Below are 22,826 nucleotides of genomic sequence, written 5' to 3'. Positions count from 1 at the left end.
TATGGTTGAGGGAAGCTCGGAATTTCCCTCTGTTGTTCTGGTCTGACCTCTAGACCTGGCCTCAAGTGAATGTGCGGCTTTGCCCAGCAGGTGCCATTTTTCAAGGACCCAATTGCAAAGCCACCTCGAGTCACTTCCTTCTCCGTTCTGAAAGCTCTCACCTCCAATGCACTCAGTGATGCTCTGGTTTCTGGCTCATTTGCCAAACGGGATAGCAAACAAAGCTGATGAGCCTACCCAGTACCTAATAGCTCAGATGTCTAATCCCCCATCTTTCAGGCACTCTCAGGGGGGGTTCCTAAGGGAAGTGGGCTCACAGAATTAATTCCAAGCATGGCAGTTTTGTGATACAAAAATGCACAAACAGTTTTCTGATGATGCCAGAGAACCTTAGGGCCCTGGAATGGGGAGGCTCTGGCAGCTCAGCTGTGGCTGGGTTCTTGGCTATGGTCAGCATCAAGACTGAGACTCCAGATCTTGTGGACACAAATCTAAGACAAGGAGTGGTGCTCCATCACCAAGTCACCTTGCCAGGTCAAGGACATGAAGATCAAATCCCTGAAGGTCTATCTCTTCTCTCTGTCCATCAAGGAGTTTGAGGTCACTGACTTCCTCCTGGGGGTGCCCCTCAAGGACAAGGTTCTGAAGCTCATGTTTGTGCAAAAGCAGCCCAAGGCTGGCCGGCGGATCAGGTTCAAAGTGATTGTCACCATAAGGGACTGCAATGATAACGTCAGTCTGGGTGTTGAGTGGCCCAAGGAGTTACTCATTGCTGTCTGCAGGACCAACATCCTCTCCATCATCCTGGTGTAGGGTGACTACCAGGGGACAAGGTCAGCAAACCCCACACAGTGCTCTGCATGGTGACACAATGCTGCCGGCTTTGTGCCTTTGATGCCACATCCAAGACTTACAGAGCTAACTTCTGGAAAGAGACTGTTCCCCAAGTCTCCCTATTGTGAATACAAGGACCCACACCATAGCATCCAGGAATGGCCACCACATGGTGCCTTTACACAGGAACAATCAATGAATAAACCTGAAAGCAAGCCAACAAAAAAACCCACAAACACACAGTATGGGAATAACTGTGGGGTAGGCTCTCTCGCAGCCTCCCTGCCACTGCATGGTTTAGGGGAAAGGTCCTGGTCAGGGTGTTGGAAAATCTGAGTTCTCATCCTGGTCTTCTGCTATTCTCCTTCGTCCCCTAAGGCAGAGCACCTTAACTTGCCGAGTCTTAGTTTTCTCAACTGTATGATAATCCCTGCTAGTGCCTACTTATACGATTGTTGTGAAAATCAAATGTGATAGTGCACATAAAAGAACATAGGAAATTGCAAAATGCCATCTAGATATAAGGAAATCAGGGTGATGCCCACAACATTCATTCACCTCCATGGTGATGTGTGTCCTGTGCTGCAGCCACACCGAACTCTTTCTCCTGGTTTAAGCTCTGCCCACCTTTGCGCACCTCTGGCCTCAGCTCCTGCTGTCTCTCCTAGAATGCTCTGCTCCCTTATTTCCTTTGGTCAAATCCCATCCATCCTTCATGGCTCCACCTGAATTCTACTTTCTCCAAAGACTTGATCCTTCAAAAGAAAGTCAAGTCTCTATCCTCTGCGTTCCCATGTCACTTCATCTTTAGGGCAATGACCACTTTCTGCCTTACATGATGGCTGTTCATGTGTAGTTTATGTTCTCTGCTGTCTTGCCTGTCTGGGGGCAGGGTCCATGCCTTGGTGGTTCTTGCAGCTCTCCTAAGGGTGCGTACAGAGCTGACAGTACACAAGAGGCACACAGCACCATTCTGTCTTGTTGCAATGAATCGGAAAGGACCTCAAGAGGTGATCAATGCCTTCAGGGCGTGGAGGCAGAAGATGAGCAGTCAGACTCCAGGGATCGGGTCTATAAACATTTTTTGACATAGAAGCCCAATTTCAAAGCCTAGTAGTTTTAGATTATATTTGCATTTGGAGGCTTTTAAAGTACCAAAACTTTAGATTTATATCTTCATGAACAGATGTGGAAGGGAAATCAATTCCTCATAGGAATGGCTTATTTGTTTTTATCTCAGTGCTGCATATTATGCACCAAGTGGCAAATTAATACATAAATTGACCAGAGATATATACACCACAGAATAGTGCCCTGATGAGAATGGAGTGAGGAGTGGTCTGAGCTCCACATGGCTGGGTGTGGCAGATGCCTGCCCATTATGTGTCAGTCAAGTCAGAGTTTCCCAAAAAGATGTTGGAAGCAAAGGCAACTCTGAGTGTTAGAAAAACCCAGACTATTCCTCGAGAAGAAGGGCAATGCTCACACACGTCATTTAGGGGGACATGTGCTATGGTATGCAAAGCTGGTGCCATCTTGCCTTTCCAAGGCTGTTAGAAGGATGTCATGAGAAAAAGGCATGGCAGCCCCCTGGCCCTTTCCCACATGTGCCCTCTGCTTCCCCCAGCGAGCACGTCCCTCCTCCAGGACAGGAGGAAGAGAATGGAGAAACATCATAGATTGGCCCTGAGAGAGGTGCCCTCTGGGGCTGGTGGGGCCCCCCTGCTCTCGCCTGGCGTGGCTCCCAGAGTGAGTGATGTGAGCAAATGAAGCGTGAGCACAACCTCCCTCCTCCCTCCTGCAGGCATCAGTGCCAGCCCTCCCAGGAGCCCTAGGGCAGAGTGGATGGGTGGGCATGAGGGGCGGGACAGGGCCTGATGAGAAGTCACCTGCTCAACCTCTGGGCCAGCTGTCCCACAGCCAAATGTTCCATGGGCAGAGGAGGGCCCTGAGGGGAATGCACGATCCAGGGCCCACCAGGGAACTCCATAGTGGGCTGCTGGTGGCCAAGGACTGGTGTGGGCTTCCAGAGAAAGCAGACCAGGCAGAAAGGGCAAGTCTACTCTAAAAAATTCCATAAACATGGAAAAAAACTAAAAGTGACTGCTTTCCCCAAGAGAGGGGATGACACATAATAGACAAAGCTTCTGACGTAGTCTAGCTAAAAGCCAAAGAGCTAGTTATCAGCTCTGGAGGGAGCAGGGTTGGGGAGAGAGAGAGGGGCAGACACACACACTCACACAGGAGACACACATAGAAACAGAGAGAGGCAAAGAGAGAGGGGGAGAGGGAGGAGGAGGGGGAAGAGCATTTTCTATTTGTCTCATTCAGTTTCTTATCATGAAGGGACACCGGATGTCCTTTAGGGGGACAATAGAAGAGGAACAATGGAAAGGAAAGGGTTTGCATAATCAGGAAGGACCACACAGAAACCACAAATGACAGATGGGTGTCCTTATCCCCCAGACACAGGTTGACATCCCCACTCACATGTCTGAGGAGGCTGAGTTTCCAGTGCCAGAAACGCCCACGGATTTGTCATCTTGGAGATAGGGACAGAGCCCTCGCATTCATAGCCCCCCATCTTGAAGAAGCTGTGAAGATGCGGGGGAATTAGAGGCTAAAGCATCAAATCCCTGCACCAGGTCAGGTGGGGATTTTGCCTGGAAATAGAGAGGAGGTGCTTTAATGAACCGGTCATGTCCTGGGTGAGAATGAGAGGAGAGGTGGCTCTGTCAGGAGAAACAGGGAGCTGCCGGCACAGCACATGTGTGAAGAGGAATTTCCACACTCCCTGACGACACCTGTTCCGTCAAAGCAGCTTATAAAGAAACAACGGTAACACTGTCACCCTGTCACATCCCACATTCCCAAGAAGGGTGATCTTGCAAGCCCCGGAGGGCTGGAAGCAACTGTGAGCTCCTCCTCTCCAGTTTGTTTCTGGGGAGAATGGAATGGGTTAGGGTAATCTTCTATAAGCCAGCAGCTTCCGTAAGGAATTGGTATTGATTCAGGGTAGACAGAACAGCTTCATTTCTTAAGCATTACTCCAAAGTATTTATGTTCATCTTAGAAGGTTGGATGTAAATCAAGACTTGAGTGTTCAAAACCTCGGTTCTTATCTGCAGTCAAAGCCAGATGCTGGAAGATAGAAACGACAGAGTTGACTAGCTTTTTTCCACCTGCTCAAGACACAAAAGTAATTTTCTGAAGGCAAAATACAACTCTATCCCTCAGAAGTTGCGAGGAAATTCATGACTCTGAGAAAAACAGCAAAGTAAAAGGAGACTTTCAGGTTTCAGTTGTCTTTGTGCTTGGAGGTCTCTTCAAAACCTATCCAGTTACTGTGCTCAGTCTAGGGACTCCCTCAGCCAGGGACTCCCTCTTTCCCCACCTCTCAGAGAGGACAGAAACCACATGTCCCTCTGGTGTCTTGCCCACCATTTCGGACATTCTGAAAAGCTCTCTACATTTCAGGGATATGGAGTCTGTATGCAGGTGTCAAAAACACTCTTGATTTAAGTTGTTAAGATCCTCTGAGGAAAGCATAAAGAGGAAGCAAGGAAAAGTATGTTCATGATTTGTTTTTAAATTAAAGGAGGTGGGGAAAGAAGATGAGAAGAGTGTAGAGGAAGAAAGGCAGGACACAGACGCCTTCAGGTCCCAGGCTGTCCTCCCCAGCTGCCAGAAGTGCTGGCTCACAGCTGCCTGGCGGTCTCAGCCCCCGTGCCCCCTCACCCCATGCGGCACATCCCTGCTTCATAGCTCCAGGGGTGCCCGAGGCCTTCACTGTGATTGCATCGCAGCCCAACCTCTCCCTCTGCCCTGTCCTGCCTCCTTCACTCCCCGGTGAGTGATGCTCCTAAAAGCCGTTTCCAGGAAACCTCCTGCACGTAGATCTCCATCTCAGAGGATTTTTCCAGAGAACCTCACCTAAGACAGGGAGGGAGGAGGTAGGGGACAAGGCTTTTAGTGTTTTTAAAGAGTAGATAATTTTTTATCAAATACAGAAAAGGCACACAAGCCAAAGTGTTTGTCACAGCCCTGGAAAACCTTTGGTGTCTTCATTCATTCAATATTAGTGCATATTTCTGGATGTATGCTATATATCCCAACTATACCTAGAGTGTTGTCATGTGGCATCTTTTTATATCTAAAGTAGGATTATTTGTCTAAAACCTTAAAAAAAGACAACGTTGGAGATTCTATTAGATACCCTGGATTAAGTCACTGGTTACTTTAACTACGATTTTTTTTTTTTTTTTTTTGGCATTTTAAGTGGAAACAATCTCCATAGTTCCTTAACTTTTTTTTCTTCATTTAGGATAGTGAATTATTTTTTACACTTTTGCTCCCATTTATCCCTTGCTGAATTGTGTTCTTGAAAATAACATTTTAGTTATCTTTTCTTCTTTTTCATGTGGACAAGGTAACAGCCCTGCACGGGCCCTGTGTCTCAGGACTAAACTCCATGTCTTCTCACTTGGAGTTTAGAGCAAAATTCTCCAGCCATGCTCCTTCTGGTTACCATGCAATGCACCTACTGGAATAGAATCTTCAAGAAAGCCCAGAAAAAGCACATTAAAATGAACCAACTAATTATCTTCAAAATCCATGAATTTTAAATATACATTTATTTGCATATCACACGAATGCTGATATTCGCCTTATAATCTCTCTTTTATGCACATTTTTCTGTCCATTTAGATAATGAAAGCTGTTCAAATTAACAAGTCAGAGAAACATAGATAATACTATTTTCTATACACAATTATGAATTCTAATGGTTCATGCCTTTGGACTGTGGCTTTTTAAAAACCCAGTATTGTCTTACAAAGTACATCAGAAGCCCTAAGCCTATGTTCATCCCAGCTCTGTCACTTAGTAGCTGTGAGAACTTGGGAAAGTTGCTTAGCTTCTCTGTGCCTCAGTTCCCTAATCTGTGAAATGGAGATAATAATATCAGTATCCATTTCATGGGGTTGGTGCAAGGATTACATAAATTAATTTCCATCAAGTGCTTGGACCAATGCCTGGCATACAGGTACACTAGATTATTACTAATTCACGGACCTCGTTGGGAGCAACGGTGAGCACACAGATCTTTAAGTCTCTCTTCAGAGACCCTGGCAGCTATTTATAAGCACAGGGCTAGCAAAATACCTCTTTTCCCCAAATTTTAATGATACAGGAAACATCCAGCTAGACTCCCCAGTCTATAAACTGCCTTATCTTTAGACCCTTTCTATCCTTCATCTCAGCTCAGTTTCCGAGTCCCCAAATTTTACCTCCATACCGTCTTTCAAATGCCTTACTTTGCTTCCATTCTAATTGTCATCTCTGTAGTTCCAACACTCATTTTCTTGATTTTGATCTAGAAGCCTTCTAGCTGACCTACTCACTTCCATTCCTTTAGCAGTCCAGAACCACCAGTGACTCCCTACTGTCCTTTATGGCACTCTAGACCCTTCCAACATGGCTTGCACCTGGTATTCCCTCCTTCGCCATCATTTGCCTACATTTACCAGTCAAATTGGGCTACTTGCTGTCCATTCATTCTGTCATTCAGTCAACACTTCCTAGGGTGCTCAAAAGCCAGATTCTGCTTTCCAAAAGTTTGCTACAGAGTGGGGAGATAGACGCATGTCATTGAATCCTTGCATTAAAATTCTAGGATTGCAACCCAGATTACTAAACACAGTTGCAACCAAAATGCAGAAAGCACAATGAATCTTGCCTGGGGGAGGAGTGAGGGGTTGTGGAAATCCTCAAGGAAGGTGAAGAAAGGATCAGATGCTATGGGAAGAGCTTTTCTTTACAGCTTTATTGATGTATAATGGAAGTACAATAAACTGCATACATTTAAAGTGTACAAGTTGATAAGTTTTGACACCCATGAAACTATGACCACTATCAAGAGAATGAACATATCTGTCACCCACCTTCCAACATTTCCTCCTGCCCCTTTGTAACCTCTTTCTCCTGCTCCCTTCCTTCCCAGTCAAGCTCTGATCTCTTTTCTGTCACTGTTGGTTAATTTGCATTTTTTAGAATTTTACATAAACAAAATCATACATTGTGTAGTCCTTTTTTGGTCTGACTTCTTTCACTCAGCATAATTGAGATTCATCCAGCTTTAGTGTGTATCCTCGATAGTTTGTTCCTTTTTCTTGAAGAGCAGTATTCAATTGCAGTTATATACCATATTTTTTTCAGTCATTTACCTGTTGATGGGCATTTGGATTATTTCCAATTGTTGGCTCTTCCAATAAAGCTTCTATGAGCACTGGAATGTATGTCTTTGTATGGACATACACTTTCATTTCTCTAGGGTAATACCTAAGAGCGAAATGTCTGGGTCATATGGTAACTGTATGTTTTACTCTTAAGAAACTGCCCAACCATTGTTTTCCAAAATGGTTGTACCTTTTGACAGTACCTCCACAGCCATGTATGAAACTTCCAGTTGTTCCACACAAGAGGGTTTTCTTTGATAAGGTAATCAAAGGATGGTAAAAATGTGTGTGATTTTTTCAGAGAATATCAGACAGTCAGAGTAGCAGAAGCAATTGAGCAAGTTGAGAGATGGGATGGGTGATAAAGCAGAAATTTTGTTTGAGGCCAGCTCCTAGAAGGCTTTGGTATTTGGAGAGTACATTCCAGGCAATGGAAACTCTTTGAAGGCTCCATCTTCTGTCTCTGGATGTTCCATGAGGTTTCCCACCTTTAGACTGTTCTCTCTCTCATGCTGCTCCTTTCCTTTGAACATACCCATCTACTGTGTTGGTAATATCTATGAAAAGTTCAAGACCCAATTGAAATGCTACCTTATCTTCAAGTTCATCCTCAATCCTGAGTTTCCTTCACCATTCCTTTGAACTTCACCCATGGCCCTGAGTCACCTTGCGCCTCCAGTTACGGTGAGTCCCCTATTCATCTGAGGTCTCTGGTGGCAGAGATGGTGGCTCATTCATGCAACATCACCCACAAGACCAATCCCTTTAGGATGATGTATCTCTCTGCACGTTTCTTTTGGTCTTATTTTTATGCAAAGTCCAAACTAAAGGAACATTTTGAATCAAGGAAGGTATAAATCTCATTGCTCATTTTGCCAAGAGCAAAATAAGAAGATGTGGATTGATTCCAAGGAAGAAGAACAATTACTTTCCTTCTCTCTCAGCTTCATTGGCTTAATCATTTCGTCCTCTATCCTTTGCTCCTTTGTGCACACCAGGTCTCCCTCACTCAAGTGGGGCAAATTATGTAATTAGTGAAAGAGCAACAATTTTGCAGAGAAAATGGTTATGTGCTTATGGAAGTTCAATTAATGTCAATTAAAATGTCCAAGGAAACCATTTACTGGGCCTAGAGAAAGAAAGCAGAACTGGACCCTGGCAGAACTAGGGACAGCTGAGAAGCACTGACCAGAAAGAAGACCATTTTGAGGCCCTGCCCAGGTGCCTGGTGCCCATCCTTGCCGGACCTTAATGCCCATCTCTCTCTCTCTTCTGTGTTGACATAGTCCAAAGTAACCAGCAACAGCAGAGAGTGCCCAGGAAATGGCACATGTGTGACTTTAACTGGTCTGATCAATGATCTTTGCCAGATTTACACCTTCTTCACCTCTATTCCCAGTTTTCCACGAGACATTCAAGTCATTAGAGGAAACTGAACATAATTATTATTCTTGGAAAACCTATCGTGATATCCAGGGGTTTCGACTTTCCATTTGCCTTCAATTGTTTTAGCAGCTGGACAGGGCTATCAATAAAACATGTGTGTTTGATTTTGGAACATGCAGCTTGGTTTGCTATAATGTCATGGTGTTTAACTTTCTCTGTGTCCACCCAGACTGACAGGTGCTTCCAAATTCTAGCCTCAGTTCAGGAGGATATTCTTTCTCAAGAATGCCATCCTTACTTTAGTGTATGTATCGGCCAAGGAAAGTGCTAAAACACTTGAGCCAGGGGTTGGCTACTTTATTTTTAAAACTGCCTTTATTTTTTTAAAGTTCTATGGTTTTGACATTGAATCAATATCAGGAAAATACCAGAGGCCACTGCTACAATTTGCATTTCATAATGTGTTTTCTACTGTTTGAAAGTACACTAGACTGTGGCAGAGTTTTCTCTGGGGTCTTTTCTGTAAACCTTACCTGGGCTATTGCTTGGTTGCCTGGTTTTGTTTGTCATCAGCATCTCTGATCAAGGTGGCAGAAGGATGAGAGGGAAACAAGGCAACTTGAAACATTCCCTCCTTCAGAATAGATGAAGGAATGAAGCTCATGCATTTAGCTGTGGGCAGGCACAAGGATTCTAGATGAGAAGACTGGTAGAGACACTTCTTCACTGTCCTGAAGCCGCATGAGCATTCAGTATAGGACCCCATCTGTTTTGTTAAATTGACAGTTTCCTTTAGCAGGAAATCAAGGTTCAAACTGAGTTTTAGACTAGCTACAGAATAAGAAATAGCTTCACTTTTTAAAGACTTTGCTTTTTAAGACATTCAGCATGTAACCTAATTTCATTTGATAGGGTTTGTTTTTCCCTTCTCCATTTGCTGCCTAGAAATGTGTTTCATTATCTCCTGCAGAATTGGAGTTGGGAGGGAAAGCTGGAGAGTCTAAGTTCTCTGGGCCTCAAAAGCAGTAAAAATTAAAATAAAACAACATAAAATAAAATTAAAATAAATCACAGGAACGGCCATCCCAGAGGATTTTCTGTCTTAAACACTTCATACTGAACAGCTGTACTACTGAGGAGTACTGGCTGGGTCTCTTCAGTTTCCATTTCAGAAGCACAGAGTTCAGAACACCAAACTCAAAAGAACAAAAGATAACACGTTAGCACAGACATAGACATGGCTAGATTTTATTCAAGGGAAATTGGTACCTACTTGAGGGAAAAGTTTACAACTACTAGGCTCTTTTTAGGATGTCACATATCAACACTTTCAAATTTTTAAAATTCAGAGCTTCCAAAGTGTTCTAACATCCAAACAGGGTTTTATCTTTAAAAAGTAATTATAGTGAAATATGATTTCCCAGAATAAAAAACATTCATTTAGAGTTATCTTTTTGAATATTGATATGTGAGGAAAACACACACGCACTAGCAATTTTAGAACATCAACTTTTTAATGTAGAAAGAGTAATTAAGGAATTACTGGGGAGAAAAGACACACACATCACTGAGTCCCTCAATAGCACAGGCTGTCTATGTGGGTTCTGGTGCCCTGAGCAGATGGAAATGAACTTACTTGATGTCACACAAAAGGGCCACTCCTCTCAGGATCCAGTGATCCGGGGACAACACTGTTCGTAAATATACCACAGTGATGAAGGTCAAATCAGTTCGCCTGGGTTTCTTGTAAATAGGACACACATACAGCTTGGGGTCCTTGGGTGCCGTGGAGTTAATGGCAAAGATGTGGAGCACGGGTAACTGCGTGAAGAGTACCTTGGGGGTGGATTCCATGAGCTTCCCATTCCGTCTGTCCCAGGCTGCTCCATCCATGTAGAGCCCATAAATATACACACCTTCCTGGAAGAGTCAAGCATAAGGTAATAGGATTTATTTTTTAAACTAGGTGCTGCAAAATTAGTCATAAAGGCTGTCAGTTTGGAAATAAAACACACACCAGTCTTAAAACACTACCAAAGGGAGAAAGCACCACCGGGTACATTGCATTCGTGAAATACTGAGCCCAGTTTTCTCCTGCAGCCTGTGTTGAGGCTATGAGTGCTGTAGAGATGTTCGTGTTTGTTATTAGTTATTTAAGTGTGGGGTGGCCTCCCTGAGCAACAGGCTTAGCCGGTAGCACCAGATCACCTCTATAGGGAGGTGAAAGTCTCTGAGAGGTCTGGTTTGAGTTGGTGGAAGGTGGGAGCATGGAACAGGATCTAGAGCTGCTGTCAGGTGGGATCTCAGCCTGCCCCCGGCCAACCAACCTGTGTCTCAACTTCATCTCAGTCACAGGATGAAGTGAGGTTTCCACAGCCAGGCCCAGCTAGCGGGAGAGTCAGAGCGCCCCCAGAGGCCAGGCATGGTAGAGCCAGGGGAATCATGGCCAGGGCAGCATCTGGCCACCCTCCCCAGTGTCTCTCTCATACAATAGGCCCTACCCTGGGGTTCCTCATCATTAAATCAGGGAGATAAGATGCATAGGTGCAGAAAAATTTTTTAAAGATAAGAATTGAATAGCAGCACACACTTGTTACTGGTGGTGCCCGGTGAACTGTTCTGGGGGTGAGGGCGGTGAATTCTGAGGCAAGGTCCCTGTGGCTGGAGTGCTCAGGAGCCTCTGTAGAGGGGATGGCCTTGATGGGCCTTGATGGGCTTGCAGCAGGGGGCTGTGTTTGGAAAGACAGAGGAGAGAGCGTAGGCATCACAGGCAGAAGTAACACTACAAAGAAAGGCAGGGCGAGCCGGAAAAGCCCCAGTATTTCCTTTATCAGAGGGCTCGATGGTTGTAAAAGAAGTCAGGGGTTGACTGTGGAAGGATCTGGGTGCTAAGCTGAAGAGTTTAAACTGGATCCTGTAGGCAGTATATTCACTAAAAAAAGAAAGGCTGAAGGAGAATCACAGGGGAGGCTCCAACAATCATGCCAGCTCACCAAATAGGTAAATGTAGAGGATGGTGACCGTTTTTCCATCTCCAGTGAGGATCGGATCAGGGAAGTAAATGCTGATTAGAACGAAAGACAGTAAGATTCATTGCAAAGTGTTTCTGGAATCCCCCTGTGGGGGCTCACCGTGTGAGGACTGTGTTTTTTGAACCAAAAACGGAGGCACATGATTTGACAGTAAAACCATGGGCAGTCCCAGAAAATCAGGACATATGGTTACCATCATTAACTCAGTGGGTGACAATCAACTACATGAATAATGGGACCACTTAAAAGCCATCATATGGTAAATTGTATCCCTCTCCAGGGTGCTTTCAGCCTCAGAACTTTAAAAAGTCAGTGAGAAGGTGTGGTAGATAGAATAGTGTCACCCAAAACTTCATGTCCACCCAGAACCTTAGAATGTAATTATTTGGAAATAGGGACTTTGCACACATTGTTTAGATAAGGACATACTGAATTAAGGTAGGTCCTAAATCCAATGTGACTGGTAACTTTATAAGAAGAGGAGAGGACACAGAGATATATATACTTATACAGATGAATGTGAGAATGGAGGCAGAGATTGTAATGATGAAGGAAAGCCAAAGATTGTCAGTAACCACCAGAGGCGAAGAGAGAAGCTTAGAACAAGATTTTCCCTTGGGGCCTCCAGTAGAAACCAACCCTACCCTGATTTGACTTCTGGCCTCCTAAGCAATGAGAGAATAGATCTCTGTTGTTTTTAGCCACCCAAGGTAATGATACTTTGTTATGACAGCCTTTGGAAAGGAACACAGATTTTGATTCCAGGAAGCAGGATGCTGTGGTAACAAATGCCTACAGATGTGGAAGGTATTCTGGAATTGCATAATGGGGAGAGGCTGGAGGAATTTTGAAACTGCCTAAAAGAGATTGTTGGTGGGAACCTGGAGGTTAAGGTGCTTCTGGTGAGGCCTCAGACAGGAATGTGGAAGATAATACTGGAAACTGAAGGAAACGTGGCCCTCGTTATAAGGTGGCAGGGAACTTGGCTAGAACTTGGAAATCATCTGGTCCAGCCCCCTTACTTGACAAATGAGGGAATGAAAATCAGAGAAAGGGAAAGGGAGACTGATTTACTGAGAGTCTACATGGGGTCCAGCACCACACCTAAATGATCACATTTAAATCTTCACAACTACCTTTTTTAAAATTTTATTTATTTATTTATTTGAGACAGAGTCTCGCTCTGTCACCCAGGCTGGAGTGCAGTGGCGGGATCTCAGTTCACCGCAACCTCCGCCTCCTGTATTCAAGCAATCTTCCCACCTCAGCCTCCCAAGTAGCTGGGACATTACAGCCTGCCACCACCCCAGGCTAAGTTTTGTATTTTTAGTAGAGACGGGTTTCACCATATTGGCCAGGCTGGTCTCACACTCCTGACCTCAAGTGATCCTCCCGCCTTGGCCTCCCAAAGTGCTGGGATTACAGGCGTGAGCCACCGTGCCTGGCCACAACTCCTTTAATAAGGTTGAATTATCATGCTCATTTTGCAGATGAAGATGTGAAGACTCAAAAAAGTTAAAGAATTTTCCCACATTCATTGAGCAGATCAGTGTCCAGGAAGTGGGGGCTCTTCCCCCCAGCCATGTTCCTTTCCACTCAAAGGGGACACCCCTGGAACTGGCCCCTGGCTCCAACCTGCTAGTCCCCTTCATCTCTGCTGCCCTCAGCACTGCTCTGCTGCCTACAGTAGAATCTGTGAGTAGCCCACAGCAGTAGCTGGAGATGTGTAGAAAAGCCTTATTTATTTATTTATTTATTAAGACAGGGTCTCACTCTGTCACCCAGGCTGGAGTCTGGTGGTGTGATCACTGCTTATTGCAGCCTCAACCTCCGGGGCTCAAGCAATCCTCCCACCTCATCCTCCCAAATAGCTGGGACTACAGATGTGTGCCATCACGACTGGCTAGTTTTTGTTTGTTTGTTTGTTTGTTTATGGTGGAGACAGGGTCTCCCAGTGTTGCCTAGGCTGGTCTTGAACTCCTGGGCTCAAGCAATCCTCCTGCCTCAGCCTCCCAAAGTGCTAGGATTATAGGCATGAGCCACCGCACTTGGCCAAAAAGCCTTTTTAGCAAACACAAGTGTAACTTGTAATTTTGTAGAAATGTAGTCTACGGAGTTCTAAGAGCTCATTAGACCTTGTCATTAATCTTCCACTCTGGCAGATGGGGGAGGCTTTGGCACTGATGTCTTCTGGCTATGATGGAGGGAACCCTCACTGCAAAGCAAATGGACCTAACCAAGGCACTCATAGCTCAGTTTTAAGCAGAACTTGAAATTTCAGCTCTGGCTCCAGAATGGTCCCTGCTATTGCCCAGCAACGCCTACCCCAGGGGGTGACGTGATCTCCTCCTTGGTCTGTCTCAGAACTTCATTGTGGATGGTCACAGTGTCCAGTGCCCAGCCTTTGTGGGCACGGGTCACTTCTTGCCTCATTGCTGTGAGGAAGCCTTAAAGAAAAAAAGAAGAGATGTTGAAGCCTTGTTGCAATCTGCTTTAAAAACAAGAAGGAAGCAATGTTAAGTGTTACTTGCTTATCAATCTCCAAACTACACATCCATCTCAAAAGGAGTTGAGGCCAAACCCCAGGGGAGACATTTGTCTCAGTGTTTCGTTTCTGTGGGGACCTGCAATGAGCTAAATCTTTCTCGCCTGCTGACAGCAGGAAAGCAGTACTGTTTATACTTCAAACTGGGCCTTGGTTTGAAACTCTCCTGAGATTTCAGCTGCTCAAGTCTTAAAGGCTTGTAACCCAATTCTAGCTCACAGTCTCTATTTGAAAATATAATATTGAGGAATAAGATCGGAATGGTGAAATATTCTGAGAATAGCATTCCAATTAGCCTTGAATCAAACCATTATCAAGCTTCTATTTGCTATAATGGAACAATTTCATTTAGTCTAGGGAAATAAGGCATAATGCCAAAATAGAAAACCTGACTTTCAATTTGACCAAACAAAGCAATCACCCTGGAAAGGAAAGCTACATATTTTAATGTGCATAATACAGTGATTTTAAGACAATATGCAGTTACGTACACTGTGGCTTTTCTTTGAAGTTAATATTTGCAAACCATGCATTCAATTCAATAAGATAAGCCTTTCTTGGAGAGTAACAATCAATGTTAGAAAAAAATATCCTAAACTTCAAACTGGACTTCAAAACCTTAAGAAAACATATTTATGATCTACATATTTTATTTTGGCCTCCATGTAAATATTAAAAATCATAAAGCTCTCCAATGAGTAAAATTTTATAATGTGTGTGTTCCCGCTACTCCTAGATTAGTGAGCTCTGAGAACCAAACCAGCACATACCAATGTATGCACAAAACAACACAAAAGTGAACATTTTATCAGGTTTGAATGGGAGTTGGGGGAGGGGAGAGTTGCAAGGCATAATTATAAGCACTGAGTCGAGATCCCTTGGAGTTGGAAAGAAAGAATAGGTCCTAGCCTGGCTTTACTGAGTCAAGTTCTCCCCATTATTAAATGAGACACTTGGAGAGGCACTCATATGGTCATGCTTTCATTGCTCTGTCAAACCTTGCTGAAGTGGCCACCATGTACCAAGCCCTGCACTATGTGGGATGACCACAAAGATGAAGAGGCCATCCATGGGCCCCACATTCAAGGAGCTCAGTCCAGAGGGAGTGTGGGGGAGGCTGGACATTGACACAACGTTGTCATTATGAAAAAAGGCGTGAACAAAGTTAACTACTCGGGAAGACAACTCAGGGAAAGCGTAATTGAGAAGATGAAGTGGAAGATGACTCTTGAGAGCTACATAGGAGTTTGCCAGATGGGGCAATTCCAGGTAAAGGAACAGCACACACACACACATGGATGGCTGAGAGAGTGTGGAGTCAGTGACAGCAGATAAGGGTAGAACGAAGATACAGCAGTGATTTTTCAAGGTCAGAGTTTGGACTTAAGTCTGTGGATGGAGAGAAGCCACTGAAAATTTAAATAAAAATTCAAATGGTTTGGCTTTATTTGCATCTTGACACATTTACTCGGAGTGCCCACTAAAATAGGATTAGGTGTGGTAAAGAAGGGCCTTTGCATTAACCCAAAAGAAGAGTTGACCAATCAACCAAAGCAGCTGAGTGAAGGACTTTTATAGAAGATTCTTATAAAGCTATAGTTTCATGAAACCGAGTGCCTAGTAGGAGAGACTGGTTTTATGATACAAAATGTTAAGTATAGGAGGCAGGAAATGTAGTGGAAGTTTGCCTGGTAGCAATGGCTGGTCAATGCCTGTGCTCTGTGTGGAGTCACTTCAGGGGATTTGATCAGCATGTGAGTATGTTGACTTCCTTTTTTATTATTTTAGAGACAGGGTCTTGCTATGTTACTCAGGCTGGTCTCAAACTCTTGGGCTCAAGTGATCTTCCCACCTCAGCCTCTGGAGTAGCTGGGTTTACAGATGCGAGCCACTGTGCCAGGCAACTTCCATTTTAAACATCCAGGCTCCCATACTTTAGCAGTAAAACATGTGGTGTGTTTTCCAGTCAATGGTATATATGACAAAAATAATAAAACCCAATTCTCCATTCTAAGGCACTCCATGAAAATGTCATTTTCACCATTCAACATTCAGCGTGCATCCATGTATTAGACACTGTATATCCTAGTAGGGTTTTGTGGACTTGGAATTAAATCAACCCTATTTTATGATGTTTTAAGATTCATTACTGATCTATGAATCTACAAGGTCATAATGTACAAGGCATGAATCCTGGTCTTAACCATCCATTTGTACAAGTTGAATAATTAAATTTTCCTATAACATTTAAAGTTCCAGCTAAACTGCAAATTTGACCTCATTCCTTGTGGCTAGACAATGACCAAGACAATGTCATAGGTGCCAGAGGAGGATAGAGCTGGATTCTCGCTTATTTAGCACATCTGCTACAAAGACTTAAGCCATCATCAGAGCTCTGAAAAACTCTAGTGAAAATAAGGAGACATCATGTCTTATCTTCTCCCTAATGGGGAGAGGCACTCCCTAATGGGAATGATGTTGGGCAGCTGACTTCAGCCATAAGTCTCCTAATGCTTAGCAATGCCAGGAGGTGAACTCTAGAACACACTTACATTACCTTGTACTATTAAGAAAGGAAAATGTTAAATATATTTGCAGTCTGAGAGTGGAGATAGGAAACGTTAATGGGCCATTCCCATGTTCAGAGAACGTAGAGAAGATACATGTCCTTTCAAGTCTTGATCATTTTGTCTCTGCTTCCTAAAGACAGCATGATCCTTGCAGCACTCAAAGGGTAGCAAATCCAATGAACTGTTCATTATTGAATTTAAAAAATGAATGGCCATCTTTCTTGTAGACTGATAGCAAGTCTAATGGAATGAAAAGCTGATTTTTTGAAGCCTGTATAATTTTTAAAGACTATTGATATATTTTTCTCTATAAGAGCTTGAAAGCAGTACTTTTGTTTTGGCACAATTTAGTTTTTTGTTTGTTTGTTTTGTTTTGATTGTTTTTTAGACGGTGTCTCGCTCTGTCGCCCAGGCTGGAGTGCAATGGCGTGATCTCCGCTCACTGCAAGCTCCACCTCCCGGGTTCACACCACTCTCCTGCCTCAGCCTCCCAAGTAGCTGGGACTACAGGCACCTGCCACCATGCCCAGCTAATTTTTTGTATTTTTTAGTAGAGACGGGGTTTCACTGTGTTAGCCAGGATGGTCTCGATCTCCTGACCTCGTGATCCGCCTGCCTCGGCCTCCCAAAGTGCTGGGATTACAGTCGTGAGCCACTGCACCCCTGGCTGGCACAATTTAGTTTTAATAATTCCTAAACCAAATTTCAATCATCAGTGGTGCAAAAATGATTCCTATGTTCATATGTTTAACTCCAAAGGGAGAAACAAAAAGTTGGGGAAAATCTTCAACAATAGTAACCTTCTATTCTTCATGAGAGTAAACCACCCACATGAAAACAGGTGATTTGATTATTTAAACATCTGAGTTACATGTGGTCTAAATCAGATGCTTTAAAAAAAATTCTTCCCCCTCAAACCCATAAAGCATAATGACTTCTTAAAACACTTGTCAAGCTTGTTCTTTTTAAAAAACTCACAAGTTTGAAATATGTATCTAAAATACAATTTATAAAATGCTTAATCTGCCGATTCTGGAGCCCACAGTGCAGGGTGGGATGGGGGTAGGCAGCTGCCCACTACACCAGCACAGCAAGACTGCAGGGGTGTGGCCCTCCCTCCCAGGCCCTTCTGTTCAGACACCCAAGGGGAACATGTGCACCCCTGGGATCACACGACCAGAAAACAAGACCCCAGAGGTTTCTTGAATCTCTGCTTACCAGAGAAGCTGAGTGCAGCCCTGCCAGCCCATCCCTGAGCAGGGCACCCCCAGGTGGGACAAAGCAAGGTATGGCTCGACTGGGCAGGGCAGGGCAGGGCTGGGCAGGCAGGTGGGCTCTGGAAGGGGAGGATGGTAGCAGACAGGGTGTTGCCTCCTGCCTGCAGGTGGGAAGCACCCTGATTGAGTGGGCTGAGAAGGGTTGGTCACCAAGCCTGGACCCCCCAGCTCCTTTGGTTATAGGCTGATATCAGAGTAGTGGCTCACAGGAAGCAGTTAGCTGGAAAGTCTGAGGCCTGGTCCATAGGGTCAGGGAGGAGCTGGGGGAAGAGGACAGTACCGTGAAGGCAGATAAAAAGGTAGCAGCCTCAGATTTCTGCATCCCCCTGGGGTTTGCCAACCCAAAGCCTGCAGCTTACTTTATAAAGAGAAGAAAAAAAAACACTTAATGAAAGTTATAGACAGCTACCCCCCACTTACCCACACACACAAAATCCAAATGATTTTTTTCATCTCCCCTCCAGCCTCCTCCCAATACAATACAGTTTCCTGTTTTCTTTCTTTTAAAAAATTCCCTTTTAAGCTAGGATTATACTTTGGAAACTCAGGTCTAAAGTAACACTTGTTATGTGTCCATTCCTATAATAGTAGTAATCCAACAGTTCAACACACTCACGGCTGTTGTTTGACTTGTGCAATCAGCTGGCTTAAAGAAAGCTGAAGAGTGCTTTAAATATCATTTCATACAAGGTCTTAGAAAAGGTGAAAGAAATAACTAATCAGGAAGATTGCTCTTCTCAAATTTATAAGGAGTTGGTTGGCATTTTGTAATGATTTACACTAAAAATAAGCAACATTTTCTTTTCTTTAATAAATGAACTGGTCCTTATGCAATAGGCCTTAGGCTGTGCAGTATTTCCTGTCTAATCAGTTACTAAGCTTCCCAGCAGCATCTTTGAAGATGAGGAGAAATGATGTTCCTGCCACGAGTTTAAGACAGGCAGTTTTTCCCCCAAATGAGAAGCAAATGTAGTTCATTGGTAAATTAAACCAAAGGTCAGAAATCATTAAACAAAGATAGGGTTGGTCAACCCCGTTGAATAAAAATGCACCAAGCACCTTCCCCGGTTCTTTGCTGTAAGGCAGGGACATTAAACTGCTGAAAATTAGAGACACCCAGGAATCTTCTAAAACTCCCAATTCCCAAGTCACAGCTCAGATAAATACAATCAGAATCTCTGGAGGTGGAACCCAGGCACCAGATTTGTTTTAAGGCAGGGATTCTCAGACTTTAATGTTCATGGGAATCACCTGAGGAGGGGGATGTACTAAAAGTGCATGTTCTGATTCAGTAGGTAGATCAAGAGTGGGGCCTGAAATTCTGCATTTCAATCAAGCTCCCAGGTGATACAGACGCTGCTGGCTGGTGGACCACATACTGGGTAGCAAAGGTCCAAGGTCAAGGTTCTTCACTCATTAGAATGACCAAGGAAGCTTTTCAGAAAATTTATTGCCACCAACAGTGTGACAGCATTCCTATTTCTCCGCAGCCATTGTGAAAGACAGTGTGGCAATTCCTCAAGGATCTAGAACCAGAAATACCATTTGACCCAGCAATCCCATTACTAGGTATATACCCAAAAAAATACAAATCATTCTGCTATAAAGACACATGCACACATATGTTTATTGCAGCACTACTTATAATAGCAAAGACATGGAACCAACCCAAATGTCCATCAATGATAGACTGGATAAAGTAAATGTGGTACATATACACCATGGAATACCATGCAGCCATAGAAAGGAATGAGATCATGTCCTTTGCAGGGACATGAATGAAGCTGGAAGCCATCATCCTCGGCAAACTAACACAGGAATAGAAAACCAAACACCGCGTGTTCTCACTCACAAGTAAGAGTTGAACAATGAGAACACATGGACACAGGGAAGGGAACACACACACTGAGGCCTATTGGTGGGGGAAGGGGAAGGAGAGCATTAAGACAAATAGCTGATGCATGCGGGGCTTAAAACCTAGATGATAGGTGCAGCAAACCACCATGACACATGTATACTTATGTAACAAACCTGCACGTTCTGCACATGTATCCCGGAACTTAAAGTAAAATAAAAAAGAAAAGAAAAGAAAATTGATTGTATGGATTCTAGAGGGCTCATCCCTAGAGATTCTGATATACTTGTTCTGGGGCCCCAGGCAGTAGTATGTGTTAAAAGCTCCCTGGGTGATTTTACTGTGGAGGCAGGTGTGAGAACCACTGCCCCGTAAAAAGCTCTGCAGACAAGTCATTGACAGTCACTGATGCACAGTTGTTTTAAGAACAAGTTTGACAAGTGGGAAGAGTACAGGCACAATATTAAGAAGACTGTCACTAGTACAAGCTGACTCTTTCCAGGGCCCCTTGAGACACACACCTTCTCTGAAATGACTAATCCAGGACATAATTGGCTCCAGTAAAACTTCGGTATAAACAGGAGAGTTGGGACTACCTGTCTTAGCAAGGCTGGGATCAGCTAAACCCATTTAAAAATGTAATTTCTGCCCTGAACTATCTTTTCCTTGAGCTAGTTTATGCTTCCTTTCCCTTTAACCAACCTCCCACTTCTCCCCTCTCTCGCAAACCTTTCCAATGTTCCCTCTGTTGACAAACTCTCATATTTTCCACCTTTTCACAGAATGTTCTTTCCACCTTCCGCCAGGTTGCCCCGGCTCAACCCTAAAGACCTTGTCCTTCCCAGCTGTTCCTCCACCCTTTAAGGGAATTTCTGCTGCATTGACAACCACAGCCTCTGGCCACATGTCCCTCCTCTCATTGTCCTTGCCATATACCCATCTGCTGCGACCCATTAAGCACTCTGACAACACCTGGGTCTCTCCAGTACCCCATTCAGCATCTGACCTCTCAGACCTTTGGCCTCATCATTTTTTATGACCTTCTTCTCAACTCCATCCCTTTTCTTCATTTACTTCCCTGTTTAGTTCAGATCCATCCTTTTCATCTCTTGCCTGGCAAAACCGCAATCCCAGATGAATCCAAATGCCCCCCTCTCTCACGTCTATACGAGGCTGCTGAATGAAACTAGAAACCATCACACAGCCACCATCACCACAGTTCACCATGAAGAGCCTCAACAGAATTCTCAAGGCCACTTATCAGTCCTTCCCTGTCCCCCTCATCTGCCCTCTTTCTCAAACTTCCACCACTCTTTTAAAAATCTCTCCACCAACATCTTCTTGCTTTCAAGAGGACCTCACCTCCTGCTTCAGACAGAGAGTAGAAAGCATCAAATGGGAATGCCCTTAACTTCTTGCCAGCAAGCCTACCTATGCTCCATCACCATAAGCATCTATGCCCTTTCCTTCCTTATTACTCTTGTTACAGTGTGCGAGGTGCCGCCTGCCTGGAGCACATTTCTCCATCTGTGAGTGCTGTGTCCACCTCCTCCTGCCTCTTTTACCTCCTCCCTGGGATTGTTGAGCTCTCTCTCCCTCCTTCATTCCTCCCACAACCCCTTTTCTATCTTTCTCTCTCCTTCCCACCAGTATTTGAACAGGTTTAAGCCTCTCCTATCACTAAAAGAGAAAGAAAGAAAACTTTTTATTCTTATACCTACTCCTCCAACTTGATTCTCCTCTTCCCAGCCAAATGTCTTGAGAGAATTATCCATGTTATGCATACTCACCTAGTCTCCATTTCCTCGTTTCACTCACACACCCCCAAATCAGACTCCTGTACCTCCCCACCTATTCCACTGAGACTTCTGCCAACAGTCTTCTTGTTGAAAAATCCATCTGGCCATTTTTGGCCCATCTTACTTGCCCTCTTGGAGCACCTGCCACTACTTACTTACTACTCTCCTTCTCCTTGCCTTCCATGACACCATGCTGTCCTGGTTTCCCTCTTCCACACTGTTTGACATGAGGAGCCCATTCACAAGAGTCCAGGTGACCTGGAGGATGGTGCACAAGCATATTCAGCAGAATCCTGGCACAGATGACTCAGGAGGAAGATGGGCAGATCATGGCTCTGGTGACCTTTGCAGGAGGATGAAATTCCTACTTGGCAGGTGGAAGTGAGGAATGAGCATGCTACAGTGGGACATTAGATGAGCCACTCATAGGCTGAGGTCATCAACGAGGGGGCCGAGGCCAAGGACAGAAGTTGCCGAGAAGAGCACACAAAGTGAGCTCTGAGGTAGGAAGAGATCAGAGGAGGGGCATGGATGGAAACCAAGGCATGAGAGTTTTCAAAGTCAGCATTCTAGCTCTAGTCAAGGGCAATGATGTCATCAGGGAGGTCGTTAGATATGAGGGCCGTGGAGAGAGCAGCTTCAGCACAGTGATGGAGCCCAGCCAGATTACAAAGGACTAGGTGGTTGCTAAGGAAGGTAAACACATGCAGAAACTGGAATTACAAGAGATGTGGTTGTGTCTAAGGCCAGTGCGTAAAAGCTGCTCACACAGAAAGTCAAGGAGGATGGGTTGTTATTCACTCAGAGGCATTTCTATAGTTCTGTGATTTGGGGACAGGGCAGGTTAGTGCTATCACTCACGTTGAAGTTTAGGACTTGAGGTCCACTCACCTAGATTTCCCAAGATGTTTAAGGGTAGCTCTCATTCATCAAACAGTGGCACTGGGGCATGCTTAGAATTGCTATTAGATTAGAAGCTATCCCCAAGTCCCTTCCAATCTTAAAGGTCCATTAGTCCTTGGCACACTTTCCCACCTCCACAAACGGCAGACTTTTATAACTCTTCAAGACAAGCATTCAGAGATTGTAGCTAGTTGATGATGTTTCCCTGAAAACACACACACAGGCAAAAAGTTGTAGATTATTTTTACAGAATGCAAGATAACAGAACAAAAATGATCCATCTCTTTGATCCAGCAGGATTGCCTCTAACTGAAAAATCTTGATTTGCATTACGGAAGAAGTTGTCACTGATATCTGACACAACTGACTGGCATGGCTTGTCAAGACAC

At 44.3% G+C, this 22,826-nt stretch overlaps 1 protein-coding gene and 1 pseudogene across 6 annotated transcripts in view; one reads left to right on the top strand and one right to left on the bottom strand.

Annotated features, from left to right (window-relative positions):
* Positions 496-957, top strand: LOC100128655 (ribosomal protein S2 pseudogene; annotated as a pseudogene).
* Positions 9,689-22,826, bottom strand: part of DNAH8 (dynein axonemal heavy chain 8) — a 315,482-nt gene continuing 302,344 nt past the window's right edge. For 5 of the 6 annotated variants that reach the window (NM_001206927.2, XM_011514319.3, XM_011514318.3 and 2 more), the window contains 2 exons: positions 13,814-13,935; positions 9,689-10,376 (listed from right to left, as the gene is read on the bottom strand). In NM_001206927.2, the coding sequence (NP_001193856.1) occupies positions 10,089-10,376; positions 13,814-13,935 (410 nt within the window). In that variant the 3' untranslated portion in view covers positions 9,689-10,088. Of the gene's footprint in view, positions 10,377-13,813; positions 13,936-21,689; positions 21,793-22,425; positions 22,643-22,826 lie in introns of those variants that run through there. The other variant, XR_926078.3, reaches the window with a different exon arrangement.

The sequence above is a fragment of the Homo sapiens genome, chromosome 6 (assembly GCF_000001405.40).
Source record: "Homo sapiens chromosome 6, GRCh38.p14 Primary Assembly".
Lineage (NCBI taxonomy): Eukaryota > Metazoa > Chordata > Mammalia > Primates > Hominidae > Homo > Homo sapiens.
This window is presented reverse-complemented; position numbering and strand designations above follow the sequence as displayed.